Source organism: Homo sapiens, chromosome 3 (genome assembly GCF_000001405.40).
Source record: "Homo sapiens chromosome 3, GRCh38.p14 Primary Assembly".
NCBI lineage: Eukaryota > Metazoa > Chordata > Mammalia > Primates > Hominidae > Homo > Homo sapiens.
Window position 1 is genome coordinate 196,923,931 of NC_000003.12, and position 20,803 is coordinate 196,944,733.

The following is a 20,803-nucleotide window of genomic DNA, read 5'->3' on the forward strand; positions in this document are numbered from 1 at the left end:
TAAACAGATGGTGGGATACAAAATCAAGAAAAATGAGTAGGTTTCCGGATTTTCCTGCACTACCAAGAACCAGTAAGAAAATGTAACTGGGAATAAGATTCCATTTATAAAAGAAACAAAACATAAATAACCCAGGAATATGCCCTAGGAAGAAATGTGGAAATTCTTTATTATGAAAACTCCTAAAGCTTTAAGTACTTAAAAGAAATCTGTACAAAACTGTAAAAGTATTTGAATGAAATATGGAAAATGTTATGTTCACAGAGTGGGGAAGGACTTCTTAACATGGAACCAAAGAAAAGACATAAGGAACAATTGGATAAATTTAACCACCTAATAATTTAAAACTTCTGTATATCATAAAGTTAAAGGACAAGCAACAGACTTGGAGAAAATATGTATGATGCAAATAACAGACAATAACTATCCAGAATACATGGAAAACTCCTACAAATGAATAAGGGGAGGATAAAAGGACATAATAGAAATGGACAAAGGCTAATTTAGTAAATTTTAGGAAAAATGCAAATGACCATTTAAAAACACAGAGAGGTGTTCAGCCTTACCAGAAATTATAGAAATGCAAATGAAAACTACATCAGTTAAATTTTTTGCCCATTATGTTAGAAAAAGTGATGCTATTCAAGTGTCTATGTAAGTGTAAGGAAATAGGCATTCTCATATTTTCTGGTTAGAGTGTATAAATTGATACAGCCGCTTGGGGATAGTTGCAGTTCTCATCAGTTCTAAGTGCTTTGTAAATTAAAAAGATACAAATTCTGTTGCATATCAGTTCCATTTCTTGTTATCTACTGCATAAAAATGCTTGTATATGCACACAAGAATGAGGCATGTGCGAGGATGTTCATGGCAGCATTATTTATAATAGTGCAAAATAAAACAACCCAAATTTAGCTCTAGCAAGAGAATAGCTAAATACACTATGGTACGGTATACCCATACTATTAAACTGACCATAGTAGTTAAATTGAATATAGTAGACCTTCAAGTCCTCAAATGGAAAGATGTCCAAGGCATAGAGCTTTAAAAAGCCAATTGTGGAATGATACGGTATAGTACACAAATACATGCAGGTGTATGTGTAGACACATATATACATACATATTTGTAAGTAAAAAGGTGGGACCTTACCATTTTTTATATCAATGATTATTACCTTTGGGTAAGTGTAGAAAAGCAGGACTAATAGTTAAAGAGGATTTGGCCTCATTTTGCGTTTTTTTTTTTACAAGGAGAATATTTTCTTGTATTATTTGTTTAATTAACATTTAATTTAAAAATTAAGTATAATGCAAACTATGAGGAAAATCAAGTTTTCGAAATCCACATTTTCATTTCCAAGAAATCCAGGAAAAAAAATACCCCAAAAACAAGAAGCCTCGTGGGCCCAGAGTTCTCACAATACCAGATGTGAGCGTCTTTTCCAGTTCCCTTCCCCTAATTCCTTGCCTTTCTCTCAACCAACATATTCCCATACCTGCCAGAGCCTGTCTATATTGTCTCTTTCCTAGACAGACCTGCAAAGGTATAACCAAAAGTGCAGCCATATCAGTGCCTTTAAGACTCAGATTCTGACAGGCAGAGGAGAGCAGAGGTGTTGGGAAAACTGTTTCAAGTAGGAACTATTTACTGTGCCTCTTGCTTTGTGCCAGGCACTGATGCTAGGGAGTCAGGTAGGGGCCAGAGAAACATTCGCCTTCATGGAGTGAATGATGGTTAAACAGGATTTTGTTTGTAAAACATGCAGTTGGGTTTAAGTCGATTTTGAATCATTAGGGCCTGGTTCTGCACAGTAATAAAAATTCATCTTCTGAATTTTTGCCCAAGCCCTCCTGCAGAGTTCTTACCTTTTCAGCAAAATTACAATTGGCCTAATAATTTTGCACATTTGCAAAAAGACCCTAAGAACAGACTCCTTTTAGGTGATAGCTAGAAGTCATTTAGAGCCAAATACAGTTCAGTCATCTGGCCAGGTGGGGTCAAGCTGTTTTTAGTTTTAAGAGGATGTAGGGGTTGTAGAAGTGGCTCTTAACTAAGGGGCCTGTATTTCCAAAGAATTGACAAAAAGTGTTTTAAACAGTCACCACATAAATGTGTAGATTCCATGACAGCAGAGACTACAAGAGCTTTATTCACTAGTGTCCCCAGCACTTGAACCCTTAGAGATGCTCAGTACATTTTGAGTGCCGGTGACCATTTTTAAGGACAAATCCTTTTTGCCTGTATTTTACTTAAGAATGTACATATACTGGCCGGGCAGGGTGGCTCACGCCTGTGATCCCAGCACTTTGGGAGGCTGAGGCGGGCGGATCAGAAGGTCAAGAGATAGAGACCAGCCTGGCCAACATGGTGAAACCCCGTCTCTATTAAAAATACAAAAATTAGCTGGGCATGGTGGTGCACGCCTGTAGTCCCAGCTACTCGGGAGGCTGAGGCAGGAGAATCGCTTGAACCTGGGAGGTGGAGGTTGCAGCGAGCCGAGATCGCACCACTACACTCTAGCCTGGGTAACAGAGCAAGACTCCGTCTCAAAAAAAAAAAAAAAAGAATTTATATATACTGCTTATTCTGAGAACTTGAAGTTACTTCTTTAGAGGGAGCAGTGCAACATGCTGTCATACTTTGTTGGATATTAAGTATTTGCTTTCATCATGTTTTTTCTTCTGAAGAGGTGGCTTCCAGTCCACCTTTTTTTTTTTTTTTTTGAGTCAGAGTCTCACTCTGTCCCCTGGGTTGGAGTGCAGTGGCCCAGTCTTGGCTCATGGCAACCTCCGCCTCCTGGGTTCAAGCGATTCTCATGTCTCAGCCTCTGGAGTAGCTGGGATTACAGGTGTGCACCACCACACCTGGCTAATTTTTGTATTTTTAGTAGAAATGGGGTTTCACCATGTTGGTCAGGCTGATCTTGAACTCCTGACCTCACCTCATGTGATCCACCTGCCTCAGCCACCCAAAGTGCTGGGATTACAGGTGTGAGCCACCGCGTCTGGCCCTGGTCCACTTTTGTTGGGGGGTGGGGTGGGTTATTCACATAACCTCTGACTTCACTCTTGATGTGGAGAGAGACGCACAGAGGTTGAGAGCACTGGGGACATTTTGAAACTCCAGCAGGCTTCATCTTGGTAGATAGTTCAACAGTGGACTTGAGCATATTTAGTATTCAGAAGGAATTTTAGTATTACTTTCCAGAAGCTGAATGTTAACCTTTTCTGCAGCCCTCAAAAATAAGGAGTGTATCAGAATATCTAAGGCTGGAATATTTTTCATTTAGTTTTAGTTATTAATGATGTCTGCCATGGGTTCCTTTCCTCTGTTGAGCATGGGCAATGATGAAGACTTTCTTTTTGACTTGCCAGTATGTAAGTTTCAAATGCAGCAAGCTGACTTACTGCTGGGAAGGGCTGGCTAACCATCTCATAAAACGTTCTGATTACACAAATGCCAGCGTCCACAGTCTTGATGCATACCTTGAATACAGAAGGTCTGACTCCCCCTTAACAATATGAAATGAAGAGTCTGAAATAAAGTCCCGGCTTTAGCCGGGAGCGGTGGTGTACACCTATAGTCCCAGCTACTTGGAAGGCTGAGGTAGGAGGATCTCTGAAGCCTAGGAGTTCAAGGCTGCAGTGAGCTATGATCACGCCATTGTACTCCAGCCTGGGTGACAGAGCAAGATCCTCTCTTTAAAAAAAAAAAAAAAAAAAATTGTTCCAGCTTCTTAATGCATATTCTGCCCAGTTATGGGGCCACAGCCTCCTCCTTTCCTTCTGTCTGCTATGGGCATGTTCCATTTTTCACCAACTGATGGAACACAGCATCTGTGTTGTGGTTTCTTTTTAACCAGAATATAAGAAAGTATTTGCTGACTGAAGCCAGAGAAAAAAATAGACCTGAATTTCTTCAGGGTTGGCAGACTGCTGTTACGAAGGTAAGTATGTGATAACAATGAAACCCAGGCATGTCCAGGGGATGGAATTATCTAAGGGTGGGTGCCTTTAAGAGCATTTGAAGACTAGTGACAGAGATACCAAGGAGAGCCTGGAGGCTCCAGGGAGGCAGCTGAGAATGAACTTCAGTTGACTATTCATCATCGCTGCTCAGTTGCCCAGTGCTTCCCGGGAGCAAATCACTTCAGTCATTTCCTCCCTGAGGAAGTTGCTAATGATGTGTTTGCTCTTCTGGGGAAAAAAAAAATCTTTTTTGGGTGGCACTTGCCTCTTGCATCATGGCTCTTATTTCCAGATGACCCATATAGACCCAGAGAAATGCTGAAATGACTATTTGGATCCACTGAGGGGGAGAAAGTGCATTGAGCTACTTGGCAGGCATGTGGGGAAGATAGTAGCCCAAGCGCTTCAGTCCCACCACTGTCTGGATGCAGCACCATGCTTGGCCCATGACATTCAAACTGTGGGGCAGAGTGCCCAGGCACAGCCGCTCATTCCTGTCGTAAATACCAGTGTCTTCATTGATGGTGGGCTGTGTTGTTTCCAGTGTTTTTGTGTATTGGATCTCATTTGATCCTTATAACCTGTGAGGTAGGCAGGTCATTTAGGGATAAGCATCGTCTTTATTTTGTAAATGAGAAAACTGAAGCCCAGGTGTGATTTTCCCCAAAGGACATCAAAACTATTGATACAGAGTCAGGTCCTTGAACACAGGTCTGTCTGGATCATTGACAGGATGTTATAGGCAGGATCTTGAAACAAACCTTTAACCCAAACCCAAAGAGACAAGATTTATTAGTTCACCCTTGAACCGAACCAAATGCTAAATTTTAAAATTAAGCTTAAGTTTTGTGTTTTGAATAACCTAGTATACCAGTTCAAACCAGAACTAGTAAATTTCCTGAATTTACCCAACTAAAAAATCTGGGTATTCTAAATTTAGTCAGGATCTTCTGTATTACCGCTTTGAGCAGAATACAGTAACCAGTTCTTTTAAAAACATACTGTTGGCCGGGCACAGTGGCTCACACCTGTAATCCCAGCACTTTGGGAGGCAAAGGTGCGTGGATTGCGTGAGTCTAGGAGTTCAAGACCAGCCTGGGCAACATGGTGAGACCTCATCTCTACAAATAATAAAATTAGCCAGGCGTAGTCCCAGCTACTTGGGATGCTGAGGTGGGAGGATTGCTTGAACTCAGGAGACTGAGATCGTGCCACTGCACTCCAGCCTGGGCGACAGAGTGAGACCCTGTCGCGAAAAACCCAAAACAAAAACCATACTGTTTACCTTCACGATTTCTTTCAAAGAATAGGACAGGGTCGTGTGATGTGAGATCAGAAGTGAAGACTGCTCAGCGGAGTTGTCGCCATCCTAGCATCCAGAGGCTGGGCCTTTGTTCTCCCAGGCACAGTTCCATTTTGACTCCACTGTCAATGAATTGATAGCAGAGCTCAGTATCCAAATGCATGTTTTAAAACAGGTTTTTACATTTGATTTCCCATTTCTCATATTTAGGTAAAACATTGTCCTATAAATTGGGGTTGCCACCTGATAGCTCTTTTTATGTGGCCAGGTGCCTCCATAAAATTAGATGCTTGAGATATCAGATATACCAGCTGTCCTGGAGAGAGAAAAGTTTCCTATCTTTTGCGCATTTTTCCATAAAGGAGTTTTTCTTATCTGAAGAGAAGTAATGGATCTTGTTTTAATGACTATTTTGTTTTTCCCTTCAGTGTATTCCACAACAGAAAAACGACAGTGACTGTGGAGTCTTTGTGCTCCAGGTAAAGAAACACTTGCTTTTCGGAACTTACAATGTGTGAATTGAGTCTGTTGGGTTGAGAGGGGAGAGATGGCAGTTCCTGTATGTGTATATGATGCTAGGTACGAGCAACGGAGTACTTTCCCTCCCCTTTATTGCTGAGGAGCAGTAGTTTCTGCATGTTCAGATGTTATCATTAGGAAGAACCACCTTCCAGGGATCAAGAGTGAAGTGTGGGTGTCATCCATGTCTCACTGGAGGTTATTAGTAAGCCACATTGGAGACTGACTTGAATTTGTCCATATCATAACCATTGGCATTTGCATAAAAAAAAAAAAAAAAAAACATTGGCAAGCAATCTGCAGGTCTTTGACACAGTGATTAGATTTTAAATAAGGTCCACGTTGAGAAACTGCCATCTTGTGCTGTAGATCTCCTTAGAGATCGAAAAGGGCTATGGAAAAAAATTCAGTTATACATATATTTATGTTGGAAATTACAGAATATGATGCATGAATTTAGAGATTTGCAAAGATCTTGGAAGACCGGTTCGTTTGTATACCTCATGCATGTTTGGGGTTTTATAAACAAATTCAAGTTCCCATTAAGGGCCATGATGGGTCTAGCTGCACTCCAGCAGGTTGCACTTTGGGAGGAATTGAGGCCTTTTCATCAGTTGCTGCTTTTCACAGTATTGGGTCAGGAGGGAGAGGAGATCCCAAGCCATGCACTAGCTTGGTCAGTCACCTATAATTTGGGTAAATGCTTAAAACAGTGTATTTTTACAGTAGTTTAAACAGACATGAAAATGCTGCCTTAGATCGGGGTCCCAAACCCCTGGGCCACGGACAGATACTGTCCACATTAGGTTCTCTTAGGAGTGTGAACCCTGTTGTGAACTGCAGATGCGAGGGATCTAGGTTGCTCACCCCTTATGAGAATCTAACTAATGCCTGATAATTCATCCTGAAACCAACCCCCTCTCCCCCAAGTCTGTGGAAAAATTGCCTTACACGTAACCAGTCCCTGGTGCCAAAAAGGTTGGGGTCTTCTGCCTTAGACACTATTAGGTCTGCATTTAGTAAAACAGAATGGGCTGGTCCACAACTCCAAGTGCCACTGAAGTGTTTCTGGGACCTTTTTTTTTGCAGTACTGCAAGTGCCTCGCCTTAGAGCAGCCTTTCCAGTTTTCACAAGAAGACATGCCCCGAGTGCGGAAGAGGATTTACAAGGAGCTATGTGAGTGCCGGCTCATGGACTGAAACTCAGCAGGGACTCTGGGAAGTCTGACCAAGTTGGAGCAGATGGTTTGTTACTTGAATCTCCAAACACTTAGTTGAATTTTTACAGATATTTCAGATCAGTGGTGTTGGGCCACTATTGTTACCTCAAATTTATTTTTTGCCCTTATTCATTTCTCCAGCTACCATGTACTATTGTTTAATGTTCAGTTTGGTTTCATTTTTAATTTTATGGTTCTGTGCGTCCCCCATATTTAATATTTATTATTCAAACGCATGCATATAGACAGAGCATGCAGTGAAGAGTATTAAAAAAAAAAGCTTAGTAGATTTGGTGCAGCTTTTGAAACTTAGTTAGACGTGAACTGAATACAGGTTTCAAATTTACTCCCAGAACCTAAAAATGCAAGATGTTTTTGATACAACATAACTCTGAGAATAGTAAGTGTTCCCTGGGGCATTAAGGGTAGCTGGGGGTGGTTTTGACAAATCCAGTCCTGTTTTACTTTACCAGCGGCAACTTTCACCAACTTCCCTCTCCAAGTGAGTCTTAGAGAGTGCAGTCCATTCCTTTTGAAGGGTGAGATGGAAGTGGTCGTAAACTGACTGGTGTCTTCTGTTTCTGGAGGCACACTTGTAAGCACAGTGGCTGCTTTGGGAGGAGTAAGGTGTGAGAAAAAGCAACCTTGGAGGCCAGTAACAATGACAGATTTCAATCGTGGTTTTAGGAATTATAATACGTGGCATACATCTCATAAAGGCTTTTGCTGGGATATTGAATTCCCTGAATTTTTCTGTTTTCGACCTGTTAAAAAAATCTTAACATCCATCAAACTAGTGGTCAAACAAATGAGAATGCAGCTGTTCTCAGAGTAATTTTTAAGTTGTCATTTCCCTGTGTTGCCTCCCAATTGGAAGAAGTTAAGGTTTACCAAATGCATTTCTATTTCAAGGGTATCTGAAACGTAAACATTCAAAACTGAAGGCTGACTGACTTGAGATGTTTTGCAGGTGGCTGGAGAGAAGAGGGAAGGTAATAGAGACAACTTAGTCCCATGGGAGCGCAGCAACCGTGTCAGGTTCTTTCTCCTGTCCCATTAGTGACCTCAGTAACATGCAGGGTACGTCTGGCTTCTGCATGGCCAGTGCTGACACTAGCACAGCTGTTCTTCTCCTTCTGTTGAACCTCATCTTCTGAAGAAAGGCCAAGTGGCCCTTGTCCATACACTTAGCTGCATTAGGATGAATATCACGCGTCTCACATCTTTAATCCAGCCTTTCGTGACATGTTGGAAAGATACATGTGAAACCTACCCAGTTACCCTTTCTGAATTGGGAGGAAAACCAACCAATGTATGTATGAGAAACTCAGAAGTCTGAATAGAAAAACAAAGTAAATGGCAGAAGATTCTCGAGTTTATGCCCGCGTAGGTTTGGAGTGTTGAAAAAGCTAAAATGTTTAGTTTCACTTGGCCCTGAGGTATGGTTGAGAAGGCTGACTGCCAGCAGTTGAGGATTGAGTCCGACCATGTTTACATGCAGGGTTCCCAACACCAGTGGTGACACTGGGAAGCAGCCCCAGCACTTTCCTCTCCTGAGTCCTCCAGACCCAAAATCCTTAATGTCAAACCAGGTCAGTGTTTCTTACTGTGTTTCAAGTCGTTAAAAAGACTGAGAGTAGAGGCACTTTATGCTGCTATAGGTGGGGTTCTGTCAGCGTTAGGAAAAAATGACAGTTTAGGGTAAGGAAGATCTCATAATGAGTTTTTCAAACATAATTATGCAAACATGAGATTTTTCAAAACATGCCAGAAATTTGCCTCTGATTTTTTTTTTTTTTTTTTTTTTTTTTTTGTGGGGGTGTGGTATACCAAAGTAGCCAGTCACTGGGCTGTCAGTTCAAAATGTCTTGTACTTCAGAGTGAGGAAGTGTTTCAGTTCCTCAGTGACAGAACCTGGCATGCAGAAGAGACAGAATTGTTCCTGTAAGAAAATCAACGCCGAGAGAGAGCTGCCCAAATCCAGTGACTCTTCCACTTCCAGTCTCATGCTTCATAGGGCACCTTGAGGTGTGCTGCCCAGTGTGGCTTAGACTAAATGTTGAGTTTGGGTTTTTTGTTTTTTTTTTTTTTTGAGTCAGAGTCTCACTGTCCCTCAGGCTGGAGTGCAATGGCGCAATCTTGCCTCACTGCAACCTCCACCTCCCAGGTTCAAGCGATTCTCCTGCCTCAGCCTCCCAAGTAGCTGGGATTACAGGTGTGTGCCACCACGCCCCACCGATTTTTGTACTTTTAGTAGAGACAGGATTTCACCATGTTGGCCAGGCTGGTCTTGAACTCCTGACCTCAAGTGATCTGCCCGCCTGGGCCTCCCAAAGTGCTGGGATTACAGGCGGGAGCCACCGTGCCTGGCCAATGTTAAGTATTTTAAAAGTCATTTTAAAATATTTGTCATTGATGAAACTTGGTTTCAGCACACGTAATTGCTTTCCCTCTCTTCTTGTGATTAGGTGTAAACCTCTATTTAACTCAAGTCCTAGATTAGAATGTCCTTTGTCCTGATGTTTGCAGTAATTGCTTCCTTGGTTAATAAAGATATTTTTGAAATATACTCTGGACTGTTGGTGAAAGAGGCAGGCATGGCTTTACTGGTACTAGTTTGGCACTGAACTGTTTGGGTGCCCATGAGGTAGGCAGACCTTATGCTTTTTTTTTTTGAGACGGAGTCTTGCTCTGTTGCCCAGGCTGGAGTGCAGTGATGTGATCTCGGCTCACTGCAACCCCTGCCTCCCAGGTTCAAGTGATTCTCCTGCCTCAGCTTCCCCAATAGCTGGGACTACAGGTGTGCGCCACCACTCCCAGCTAATTTTTGTATTTTTAGTAGAGACAGGGTTTTGCCATGTTGGTCAGGCTGGTCTCGGAACTCCTGACCTCAGGTGATCCACCCGCCTCTGCCTCACAAAGTGCTGGGATTACAGGCATGAGCTACCGTGCCTGGCCTAAACCTTACGCTTTTGAGGTTGAGTGCAGGCCTTGTGATAACTAAGCGCTACTTTTGACGAGCCTTCAACAAGCTGCCCAGTCCTCTCCTCAGCAGACGCATCAGGTTGTAGTTGCATCTTTACAGTGGTCTTTCCTTTTATTAAATCTATAGCAGTGAATATAGATTTGATTCAACTTTTAGTTACGTTCTCTCAAGAATCCTAATCAACTTTCAGTTAGCCTCTTAAGAAAGGGAAAAAAAGGTGCTGCCAGTCATCCCCAAATTATGTTTTTGGCTGTGCATTCTATTTTCTACATAGCACTGAATCTGAGTAACAGTCATCCTGGATTTATAGTTGGAACAGAACAGTAACAGACCTAACTGGGACTCAGCCAGCACTAGCCTCATCTTAGCTGCCCCTTTTCTCTGCTTTGCAGTTTACTGCTTCCCTGGGCTAGCCATAACGGGGTTCTGGGCAGGTCAGACTCTTCAGCAAGACAGTGTATTAATAGTGTGAATTAGATACACTGATGACCTGCTCTGCCTAGTTAAGAAACTGAATTAATCAGCAGTTACAAAGCACATACTTTGTTACGTGCTAGGCTTTGCCTCCTGGCCTCTAGATAATTAAGACGGCCCAGGGAATACCAGCAGAGAAGTGCTAATTGTATTTGGGTGTTACAAAAGCAGACCTAGACGAGCTGTTCACTTAACTGGTACCTGTTGGTCAGAAAAAGAATTTATTTAGAGATTATGATCATGTAAAATTACAGTACTCAACCCTTCTAGCAAAGTATTTTTTTGAAAAATAAACTAAATGCCTTTATAAACTTGTGTTCTCTCGTCTTGAGTAACATGTACTGTTTGGCGAGGAGTAATTTTTTTCTTGTGACATTCCAGTCACGACAGAGGTCATTTCAGAACAGTGAGCAGTGCAGGCCCTAACCAGCTCACCCTCAGAGCAGCAGCACCATCACTCGAATTTTCTACAACGGAAATGTTCTATATCTTCATCTTAGCTTGACTGAGAAACTGAATGTTTAATTCTCACACTTCACTAACATGTATTAATAGTGATGCCTTCATCTGTACGTTTGAATTTTCACTTTTCTCCGATTAAAGTGAGAAACAGGTCAGATGCTATCCATGAGAAATAGGAAAGAATGGTGCAGTAAAGAGACTCACATTTAGTGTTCTCTAGCCCAGGAAACATAAGATGTTCTTAATCCACCCACAATTTCCCTTCCCTTGCAATCATCCAGAGCATGTTTTTTGGAAAACTAACCTATTCTTCCATCAGTAGAGGTTGCTTGGTGCCTATTTGATCACTTTCACAAGAAAATCTGTGCGCTCTCTTCACACGCAGCAATAGTTATTTCCAACTGTCAGTCAATCAAAATGGACACGCGAATTGTCCACACTATTCATAGAATCCCCCTGGAACTCATTCATGTGTATCCAGAGTACAGGAATTCCAGAACACAACCCTCTTTATAGGCCAGGAAACAGGCAGCAACAACGATAAGTTCATCCAGCTTTATTGAAACCTATTACAGAAGACAATCCGAATAAAACCACTGTCTCCTGTAGAAATCTGAGTTATGTTGTTTTACTACAAAAGAATATAAAACACATTAAATTACAGTGTGAAGGAATTTTAAAAATGAACAGTGTATCCTCATTAAATGTTTGCAAAGTTTCTTCCTAAGCACTTACAACTAGTTACAGCTCTTTTAAAAATTCAGATTTCTACACTCAGTTTAACGGGAGAGACATTCACACTTAGGTACTTCAGCCCCAACTTTCACGGACTATTGGAAATTAGAAGGTACTTTGTTGCTAAGTGAAAAAAATGCACATTTTTTCATATCAGGGAAAATTATACTGGACTTAACAGTTTTAAATGAGCAATAACTCAGATATATTAGAGAGAAATCACCTCTTGCCTTACAAATACCAAATAAATTCCCTAGACTCCCCTCCCTGTAGAGACCATCAGCTCACTGTGAAGGCTTGAGCCTCAGTAGGTAAAATTTGAGGAAAAAAATGAGAAATGGCTAAAAGAGGCATCTGCTGCAGGAACCTTCTGTGACTGTCAAACATTCCCTCTTCAAGCTCCCTTTTAAAACCCAGTCCATTCCCAACATCACTGAAAATGAAAAGAATAAACTTGCTGGTCCTCATGTCAAGGCAGTGTTTTCATTGTCTCTTGATATTTTATCCCATTTCCTATTGACAACATCTCCCCTACCCCTGAAATTATTTAGAGGTTCCCTCTATGACAAACCCTTGCTTTTTTTTAGCTTTAGGTATAACACTGACATCTTTTGAAAAACGTGTTAGTAAATACTCAAGTTCTGGCCTCATTTCCTGATGTATGAAGCATGGAAGCAGTGCTGTCCTGTGGAGATTGCTTTTGCACCAACTACACAGGAAGGTCCTTGACCTCTAAGCATGCCTTTAGAGGTTAGAATTCACAGAAAACAAATTCAATTGTCAAACACCTGTTCCTAATTTTGTGCAAAGCAATACAACATAGCACAACTCCATTTGTTGTTTTTCGTTGTGCTTTGTAGAGACGGGGTCTTGCTATGTTGCCCAGTCTAGTCTCAAACTCCTGGCCTCAAGCTATCCTTCCTCCTCAGCCTCCCAAAGTGTTGGGATTACACGTGTGAGCCACCATGCCTGGCCCCACCTCCATTTATTAGGCTATCTCATGCAAACTTAAAATTAAAAAAATAATCCCAGGCCCCAATGTAGATCATGAACCTACTTAAGACTCATTATGGTAAAAACAAATTCTTACATTTTTCTGTCTTTCTAAAAGTGTAGTGGTTATGGCTAAAGACTAATCAACATTACAGATCCAATCTGTTGTCAAAGAACACAATTTCTGACCTGGTAACAAAATTGTTCTGATAATCTGACACATGGCCAAGATTCTCAGACAAGAATTAAAGGCATTCTTTTGGATTCTGTCCTTTAATAACTTTCAGAGGCTTCCAGCTCAGTAAAGACACTGATCAAATCTTGGTAAAAATGGGCTCGTGTGCAGACTTTAGGTGATGTTCTTCAGCAAATTCAACAGGCCAAAGGAGTGTTTGTCACTGACAGAGCTCTCACCACTCACTGGTTCTGTGCCAGTTTTCCATAGCCTCCTCTCCCAGCATCGTAGTCCTGCCGATACTCATCCCGAACCTTTAATGGAAAGAATCCAGAGTTACAGTATGGAAAAGAATGGTGTAACAAATATGCCTCCCACAAACATGTTAGACAAACAGTGAAACCTGTTCAGATGCCACAATGTGAACATTTCAAGCAGGACATATGCACTTCAGCTCACTTCAGTGCGTTTTGCTTTCATTTTAGATGTTCCTGCAGGTGGAAGATACCTAGCCCTAGCAGAAGTTCAAGAATGGTTGCTTGTTAGAAACGTACAGAACATACCATTTCACGGTTTAAAAAAAAAATTCACCCAAACCGTTGGGTGGTTTTCAGATCCACTTCAAGCCAAGGTTATAGACACAAAGTTATTTACAAAAGAGTAAATACAAATTGCCAAAACACCTGTCATTGTGACTGGAATCCCAGGCAATGGCTGAGCCCAGAGACCCTTCTTGCATACCTGGCCCCCAGATCGCCCACGGCCGTATTGCCTGCCCTCCTTAAAGCCTGCGTCCCAGTCTGTGCGAATGATTCGGTCATCCAGACGCGTCCCATTTATGTACCGCATGGCGTTTTCCGCATCTGCGCGTGAGTAATATCTTAAGTATTAAGGAACACTAGCATTTTTCCAAACATTTCTGGAAATAGGGGAACAACATGTAAATGAAGCTGAGTTGTTAAAAAGTACAAGAGCTAATCCAACCAGATGGAGTTCAAAGACAGTAATTCAGCTTGCCCAGGCCTGTTTGCGATTGGTTTGGAAGCACATAGAGTCAAATATGACACGTATCCATGGCTACACTGATCATATTTCTTGGACATTCCTGTTGATAATTTTTGGTCCCATCATCTCTGTATTTTGGTTTGCAAGTTTAGATCACTGTACACTTCTTATCCAAGAAACCAGTGCTGTATATTCAAGTTAGGTTCTGTACATTCCAAGGCACCCTAATCAAGAGAAGGTCACCGTGCACGTGGAATTGTGCTGCACTTCACTAAAGGAAAGACTCAAGCTGTCACCAAGGTAGCAGTTCCCAAACCTACTTCATCAGAGACCTCCCTTTAATTAAAGGGGAAGACATTTAATCTCAGACAAATAAAAATAAGACAACAGTGTTCTGAATAAACCATCTGGAGAAACTAGTATCTTTGATGTTAGCAAGCCAAAATAAAATCTCTTTTCATTCTAGCATTTGGGAAACCTGTGTATCCCCGAGGCAAGCCTGCAATCTGGGAGAGAAGCCCTGCCTGGGTCCAGTGAGTCAGCATTCTTTTCCTTAATTATGAGCAGAAATCCAGGGATCACCAGACACTTAAGGAAAAATTTCAACCGAAACAAACATAATTCAGGGCACAGGAAAAAATTCAAAAGATATATTAAATTGGGCCTGCAAAATTTCTCAGAATATTAAATTGAATGACCAAAACATACAGTAAAAAGAACATAGGATAAATCCAAGAGGTCCAATACTTAAAAGAGTCTGAGTAAGGGAATTAAATGATCAAAGTAAATAGTTTTGGTTTGTACCTATACAGTCAGGTTATATACATCTATATAATGAAATACTATACAGCTATTTACTTAAAAGTTTTTTTCTTTAAAGATGGGGTCTTAACCCGTCACCCCCGCTGGAACACAGTCACAACTCAGTGCAGCCTTGAAATCTTGGGCTCAACTGATCCTCCTGCCTCAGCTTCCTGAGCAGCTGGCACTACAAACACCAGCCACCATGCCCAGCTGTACAGCTATTTTAAAAAAAGACCTACATATGCTGAAATGGAACAATAAAAAATAAAAAAATGATTTTAAAAACAGCACATGAAATACACTACCGCACACCCACAGGGTTACTTCTTGAAAGACGCCCAAGAAACTGGTAACTGACTGCCTCTGGCAAAGGGCATTAGGGGTTTAGAACAGTACGAGATTTTTATATTTTCACTACATTCTTTGGAATTTTTTTTTTTTTACGTGAAGGGCAAACATTCTTGAAAAACTTTTTGTTAAAGAACCATAAAGCATGGATTTCAGAAGAGAATATAAATAGTATCAGCTTTACAGTATAAGGGCAGAGACACACTGGGTGGAAAGTAGGAGGGAGATGAAGGAAAACGTAGGGACGAGTGCAGGGACGCTTATGAGCTACCACTCTCAGCTCTACCCTGGTTCAGCAGCTACATTAGATCCATGGGAAGGATACTCCACAAAACAGAATCCACATGCTGTTTTCTTCATTTTATCCAGACCCATAATGATTTTCTTTATGTCACCACTTTTGCTGAAGAGTTCATAGATTTGTTCTTCAGTTGTGTAAAAAGAAAGATTTCCAACATATAACGTACAGCTTTTCTTCAGTAATTTTTCTTGTTCTTCATTGTCACCCTAGAATTTCAAATAGAGACAAAAGTTAAGCAACTTCAGAGCCTTGCTTAAATAGTATTTCTAAGTACGGTAGAGACATTCATTAATTCTGGTTTGGAAATCAACTTCTCTCATCCCAGCCTACCAGAAATCCCTTGCCCAAAAAGGGGGATGTCGACCTTCTGTGAAGCACTTATGCGAAGTCCAGACTCTTAGTAGAGACAGGGCTCAAAAGTTATACCACATACAACAAAGTCACTTCTACGCCCGACTGCCACGCAAGCGGCTTCCCTTTTCCCTGCACACACCATATCCTCAGCAGTGCATCCTTTAAACCCAAGTGTAGACTCTGGACCTTGACCCAATATATGACAAAGGGCCCTTTTATCCTTCGTAGTGAAAAATAAGTGGGTTTTCAGAGAGAGAGAGAGTTCCTCTTTAATAACCCCCTAGAGACTGTTGAAAGCCACAACCTTGATGCTTTACGTGCTCATAGATCTTTCTCTGAGTTTAGGGGAAAATGTAGTGATCACTAAAAACAAAACAGAGCTCACTTTCTTAATGGGCTTCCAAATTGGGATGACAGGATGAAGCCAGAGACTTAAGCATATAACTGGGCTTCATCCAACACACCTGACAGACAAAGCCCTGGGTCCAAAATGGCTCATCGGGGTCAGGCGCGGTGGCTCATGCCTGTAATCCCAGCACTTTGGGAGGCTGAGGCGAGTGGATCGCCTGAGGTCAAGAGTTTGAGACCAGCCTGGCTAACATAGTGAATGAAACCCTGTCTCTACTAAAAATACAAAAATTAGCTGGGCATGGTAGCAGCGGGCGCCTGTAATCCCAGCTACTCGGGAGGCTGAAGCAGGAGAATCGCTTGAACCTGGGAGGTGGAGGTTGCAGGGAGCTGAGATTGCACCACTGCACTTGAGCCTGGACAACAAGAGTGAAACTCTATCTCAAAAAAAAAAAGTCCACAGGACAATAGTCATTGTATGTTAAAAAGAGGTTTTCGGAACTTTGGAGTGAGACATTAGAGAAAGTAAATTCCTTTCATTTTACTGCTGTTACTGATTTGTGAACATGGAAAGGAGGCATCTTCTTTTTCTACTTTTCTCACACATGTAAGTAAGATCCAAATAAATAGCCTACAGTTTAAGATAACTGTGGTGTAAGTGCTTAAAGTATATTAATATGGATTCCATTCACAGAATGCTAGAAATTCCACATGACAGTATGGCATTAGCATCTAAAAAAAGCTACAGGTTTAGACTGAGGAGATGAATAATAGACAAAGTCAGAAGGTTCCAGTTTTCATCTCACAGGATGCTTTAAGTTCAAAATGGTCAGGATGTGGAACTGTCTAAAGTAGTAACTAAAAGTGGTAGAAGTGCAAATCATGCCTGGCACTTAGGCATCCCAGCACTTTGGGAAGCCCCAGGCAGGTGGATCGCTTGAGTCCCAGAGTTCGAGACTGGCCTGAGCAACACAGGGAGACCCTGTCTCTACAAAAAATTAGCTGGATGTGGTGGCGCGAGCCTGTGGTCCCAGCTTCTCAGGAGGCTGAGGTGGGTAGGATCACTTAGGCTCAGGAGGTTGAGGCTGCGTGAGCCGTGATTGCGCCACTGCACTTCAGCCTAGGCAATAAAGCGAGACTCTGTCTCAAAAAATAAAATACATTAACTGAATAAATTTTTTTTTTTTGAGAAGGAATATCGCTCTGTTGCCCAGGCTGGAGTGCAGTGGCGCGATCTCACAGCAACCTCCACCTCCCCGGTTCAAGCGATTCTCCTGCCTCAGCCTCCCGAATAGCTGGGATTACAAGCGCCTGCCACCACGCCCGCCTAATTTTTGTATTTTTAGTAAGACGGGGTTTCACCATCTTGGCCAGGCTAGTCTTGAACTCCTAACCTCGTGATCCACCCGCCTCAGCCTCCCAAAGTGCTGGGATTACAGGCGTGAGCCACCGTTCCCAGCCTTGACTAAATAAATCTAAGAGCTTCCCTAATTTAGCGTCAAACAAAATTTCCCTTTCCCTACTCTAGTAACACATTTCACACATTCTCCACACTTACCCTCTGCTATATGCGCCCCTTCCTTTCCCAGTCACAAGGGGATTTTTCCCTTTTCTGAATCCTCACTACAGGGGATTATGAGCTCGCAGAGCGCAGAAACTGTCTTCCCTCTCCCTCTAGGGTTTAGCACAAGGATTTGGCGACAGCACTCGATAAACGTTTACTAAATAATTGGGTTAATGAGTCCCGCCCCGCCAACCCCCAACCGTATTCCATCCCTACCTCCGCTGATACTGAAAAGTCTACTTTGAATATCTGCTGCCTCCCCTTTTTCCACAAAATATACTGTGATATAGTCCGGACTAAAAATTTCCCTCTTCTGAAATCCAGCAATTCTCCGATCTTTACATCCGAACACCCTCAAAGTGCCGAGCTTGGCGGGTCCACCTCCCCACTCCGAAGCTTCCCCGAGGGCGGAGTGAGGACTCCACTTGTGTCTCCCACGCACCGCGTACAGCTTCCGTAACACCATCCTCCCAGAGAAGGGGCCCGAATCGCCGAAGGGCACTGCTTCGCCGATTTAAAAAACAAAGCAAAAAGCCCCGCATCTGCATCAGGAAGGCGCCTCTGCCTACTCTGGGAGAGAGAAGGGCACCCCTCCCCCTTGCTACGTAGTCGTCTGCGGAGGCACAACCGTGGAAACGGGAGCCGCCACCACCACCACCGCTCAAACCTCTCGGCACTGGCTGGGGTACAGGGAGCGGCTGCGAGCGAATGGGATAAGCGAGCCTCCAGTTCCCCGTCTTCCAGAGCAAGTGGCTTCAGTGATATCCAAGCGCCCTTCCAGCACCCATTCCCTGCCTCGCCAGCAGGCACCGGGGCCCCACTTGGCGTTTGCGGATTTCAGCTGAATGGGAGGCGACACAATGAGACAAGAGCAAACCGTTTCTCAGCGTTCTTGCCCAGGGCCTTCCCGTCTCGCGGCCCGGCCTCCCTCACCCGGAAGTGCTGGTCCCGGTACTGGCTCAGCTCCACGTAGGAGTCGCTGCGCAGCGCCTTCAGGAGGCCACCCGACATAGTGCAGAGAAGCGGACCACAATGCGGCGACTCCCGGCACGAGGCTGCGTCCGCGATGGCGGAAGCGGAAACGCGCGGAGGCGAGCATCTCATTGGACCCAATCCGAGGGCGGCGTGTCGTCATCAAGCTGCGCGGGGGCATAGACGTCCGGGTCGGGCGCCGCGGGGCGGAAGACGAGGGCGGCGAGGTCGGGTTCCGGGCGCTTGGAGAAGATGGTGCTGCGGCGGCTGCTGGCCGCCCTGCTGCACAGCCCGCAGCTGGTGGAACGTCTGTCAGAGTCGCGGCCTATCCGACGTGCGGCGCAGCTCACGGCCTTCGCACTGCTGCAGGCCCAGCTGCGGGGCCAGGACGCGGCCCGCCGCCTGCAGGACCTCGCGGCTGGGCCCGTGGGCTCCCTGTGCCGCCGCGCTGAGCGATTTAGAGACGCCTTCACCCAGGAGCTACGCCGCGGCCTCCGAGGCCGCTCGGGGCCACCACCAGGTAGCCAGAGGGGCCCTGGCGCAAACATTTAATCCTGGGCTGTGCGGGGCCGAGGCCGCTTGCTTTTCCTTCCGGGCTCTACAGTGGCATCAATGTGGAGGGGTCATTCCGGGCACTGCGCGCGGCTTCGAATCCCGACTGGGATTGTTGGCCTGCAGACATCCCACGCATAAGAGCCTAGGCCAGACCGCCCGCTCCGTTGAAGTCTTGTGATTGGACAAGACACAGTGTGGAGACAGCCCTAAGCCTAACAGAGATGAAGGTAGGCTGGGTCCAGACACGGCACCTACGGAGAGCCACGGACCGAAGCCAGAGAGCCTTTCCTCTGCAAGTGGGACTGAAACTCTTGACAGATGCTGCTCAATCTGACTGGTATAGCAGGACAGTTAATTCCAGGGACGATATGGATGAAAAGACAACCCTACAGCTGCCAAATTCCTTTGATTAAATGTGTGAGCTGGTTGATAGGCATGAGTGTGATACTTCTCAGGCAAGATGTGTTAAGAATACCGGGGACTGTAGGCCTATGGTAATAATAAACACGTATTTTATGAAATGAGTCTTCTGTGCTGGGACTTGCTCATTGCACTCTATGTGTTATCTCACTCCTTACAACGACATTCACATGAGGAAGCAGATTACTTTTTGGATTTTTTTGTAGAGATGGGGTGGTCTCGAACTCTTGGGCGCAAGTGATCCTCCCGCCTCAGCCTCCCAAAGTGCTGGGATTATAGGCAAGAGCCACTGCGATGGAAACAGAGGCTGCTGCTTAAGTTGCCCAAAGTCTTGCAGAGTGGGATGTGAGCAGAGGCATTTGACTCCAGGGCCTAAGTCCTTAACACAGCTCTGCAGCATTTACCCTGATACTCAACCCCTTCCTTCCCCAACCCCCCACCATCAGGCATTAAGACTACTGCCTAGGGGCAGGGCCTGGTGGCAGTTGTGTCTTATCCCAGCCACTGCAGAGGCAGGAGGATCGCATGAGCCTGAGATGAGACCAGCCTGGGTAGCATAGCGAGAACCTTTCTCAAAAAAAAAAAAAAAAAAAAAAAAGACTACTGCCTGCCATGGAACAAGTTACCTGGACTCCTATCCTGTGGGGAAAAGAGAGATCAGATTGTTACTGTGTCTGTGTAGAAAGAAGTAGACATAGGAGACTCCATTTTGTTCTGTACTGAGAAAAATTCTTCTGCCTTGAGATGCTGTTAATCTGTAACCCCACCCCCAACCCCCTGCTCTCTGAAACATGTGCTGTGTCCACTCAGGGTTAAATGGATTAAGGGCGGTGCAAGATGTGCTTTGTTAAACAGATGCTTGAAGGCAGCATGCTCGTTAAGAGTCATCACCACTCCCTAATCTCAAGTACCGAGGGACACAAACACTGCGGAAGCCCACAGGGACCTCTGCCTAGGAAAGCCAGGTATTGTCCAAGGTTTCTCCCCATGTGATAGTCTGAAATATGGCCTCGTGGGAAGGGAAAGACCTGACCGTCCCTCACAGCGTGACACCCGTAAAGGGTCTGTGCTGAGAAGGATTAGTGAAAGAAGAAGGAACGCCTCTTTGCCGTTGAAACAAGAGGAAGGCATCTGTCTCCTGCCCGTCCCTGGGCAATGGTGTAAAACCCGATTGTATGTTCCATCTACTGAGTTAGGGGAAAACCGCCTTAGGGCTGGAGGTGGGACATGGGGGCAGCAATACTGCTCTGTAAGGCATTGAGATGTTTATGTGTATGCATATCTAAAGCACAGC

At 44.0% G+C, this 20,803-nt stretch overlaps 3 protein-coding genes and 1 long non-coding RNA gene across 10 annotated transcripts in view, besides 8 other annotated features; 3 read left to right on the plus strand and 1 right to left on the minus strand.

Moving 5' to 3' along the window:
* The window catches only part of SENP5 (SUMO specific peptidase 5), a 66,795-nt gene extending 56,011 nt beyond the window's left edge, over window positions 1-10,784 (plus strand). For 2 of the 4 annotated variants that reach the window (NM_152699.5, NM_001308045.2), the window contains 3 exons: window positions 3,866-3,949; window positions 5,703-5,753; window positions 6,883-10,784. In NM_152699.5, the coding sequence (NP_689912.2) occupies window positions 3,866-3,949; window positions 5,703-5,753; window positions 6,883-6,993 (246 nt within the window). In that variant the 3' untranslated portion in view covers window positions 6,994-10,784. The remainder of the gene's footprint in view (window positions 1-3,865; window positions 3,950-5,702; window positions 5,754-6,882) is intronic. The other 2 variants (XM_005269310.4, XM_047447675.1) reach the window with 1 other exon arrangement.
* Window positions 10,785-11,475: 691 nt separating this feature from the next.
* NCBP2 (nuclear cap binding protein subunit 2) lies at window positions 11,476-18,598 on the minus strand. Of its 4 annotated transcripts, none has more exons than NM_001042540.2 (4): window positions 18,496-18,598; window positions 15,463-15,502; window positions 13,580-13,701; window positions 11,476-13,152 (listed from the first exon to the last, which is right to left on the minus strand). In NM_001042540.2, exons 1-4 carry the CDS (start codon window positions 18,571-18,573, stop codon window positions 13,081-13,083), a joined length of 312 nt encoding a protein of 103 aa, NP_001036005.1. In that variant the 5' UTR covers window positions 18,574-18,598; the 3' UTR covers window positions 11,476-13,080. The 4 variants fall into 4 exon arrangements, with proteins under 4 accessions (NP_001036005.1, NP_031388.2, NP_001397786.1 ...); NM_007362.5 differs by having other exon boundaries at window positions 13,580-13,718; window positions 15,321-15,502; NM_001410857.1 differs by having other exon boundaries at window positions 13,580-13,718; window positions 15,321-15,502; window positions 18,230-18,598.
* NCBP2-AS1 (NCBP2 antisense RNA 1) lies at window positions 15,947-18,604 on the plus strand. Its single transcript, NR_046630.1, has 3 exons — window positions 15,947-16,197; window positions 17,044-17,212; window positions 18,463-18,604. It is a non-coding gene; the product is annotated as an NCBP2 antisense RNA 1 (long non-coding RNA).
* Window positions 17,930-18,603: an enhancer, noted in NCBI's record as "H3K27ac hESC enhancer chr3:196668731-196669404 (GRCh37/hg19 assembly coordinates)". NCBI's record gives its function as "activates a minimal SCP1, AML or CMV promoter by ChIP-STARR-seq in naive H9 embryonic stem cells {active_cell/tissue: H9 hESC(naive)}" and the evidence as "EXISTENCE:reporter gene assay evidence [ECO:0000049][PMID:30033119]".
* Window positions 18,062-18,301: an enhancer, noted in NCBI's record as "active region_21102". NCBI's record gives its function as "activates an Ori minimal core promoter by ATAC-STARR-seq in GM12878 lymphoblastoid cells {active_cell/tissue: GM12878}" and the evidence as "EXISTENCE:reporter gene assay evidence [ECO:0000049][PMID:35858748]".
* Window positions 18,332-18,471: an enhancer, noted in NCBI's record as "active region_21103". NCBI's record gives its function as "activates an Ori minimal core promoter by ATAC-STARR-seq in GM12878 lymphoblastoid cells {active_cell/tissue: GM12878}" and the evidence as "EXISTENCE:reporter gene assay evidence [ECO:0000049][PMID:35858748]".
* Window positions 18,522-18,821: an enhancer, noted in NCBI's record as "active region_21104". NCBI's record gives its function as "activates an Ori minimal core promoter by ATAC-STARR-seq in GM12878 lymphoblastoid cells {active_cell/tissue: GM12878}" and the evidence as "EXISTENCE:reporter gene assay evidence [ECO:0000049][PMID:35858748]".
* Window positions 18,522-19,277: a biological region, named in NCBI's record as "H3K27ac hESC enhancer GRCh37_chr3:196669405-196670078".
* Window positions 18,604-19,277: an enhancer, noted in NCBI's record as "H3K27ac hESC enhancer chr3:196669405-196670078 (GRCh37/hg19 assembly coordinates)". NCBI's record gives its function as "activates a minimal SCP1, AML or CMV promoter by ChIP-STARR-seq in primed H9 embryonic stem cells {active_cell/tissue: H9 hESC(primed)}" and the evidence as "EXISTENCE:reporter gene assay evidence [ECO:0000049][PMID:30033119]".
* On the plus strand, window positions 18,744-19,613 carry NCBP2AS2 (NCBP2 antisense 2 (head to head)). The gene has a single exon (NM_001355243.2). The coding sequence runs from the start codon at window positions 18,787-18,789 to the stop codon at window positions 19,084-19,086; it is 300 nt and encodes a 99-aa protein (NP_001342172.1). The 5' UTR covers window positions 18,744-18,786; the 3' UTR covers window positions 19,087-19,613.
* Window positions 19,042-19,201: an enhancer, noted in NCBI's record as "active region_21105". NCBI's record gives its function as "activates an Ori minimal core promoter by ATAC-STARR-seq in GM12878 lymphoblastoid cells {active_cell/tissue: GM12878}" and the evidence as "EXISTENCE:reporter gene assay evidence [ECO:0000049][PMID:35858748]".
* Window positions 19,952-20,625: an enhancer, noted in NCBI's record as "NANOG-H3K27ac hESC enhancer chr3:196670753-196671426 (GRCh37/hg19 assembly coordinates)". NCBI's record gives its function as "activates a minimal SCP1, AML or CMV promoter by ChIP-STARR-seq in primed H9 embryonic stem cells {active_cell/tissue: H9 hESC(primed)}" and the evidence as "EXISTENCE:reporter gene assay evidence [ECO:0000049][PMID:30033119]".

Coding starts and splice junctions, on each gene's coding strand:
- NCBP2 (NM_007362.5), bottom strand. CDS start 18,573: ATGTCGGGTGGCCTCCTGAAGGCGCTGCGCAGCGACTCCTACGTGGAG. Junction 13,719..15,320: donor TGTGGATTCTGTTTTGTGGA/GTATCCTTCCCA, acceptor TTAATACTTAAG/ATATTACTCACGCGCAGATG. Junction 13,153..13,579: donor GTGGGCGATCTGGGGGCCAG/GTATGCAAGAAG, acceptor TTTCCATTAAAG/GTTCGGGATGAGTATCGGCA.
- NCBP2AS2 (NM_001355243.2), top strand. CDS start 18,787: ATGGTGCTGCGGCGGCTGCTGGCCGCCCTGCTGCACAGCCCGCAGCTG.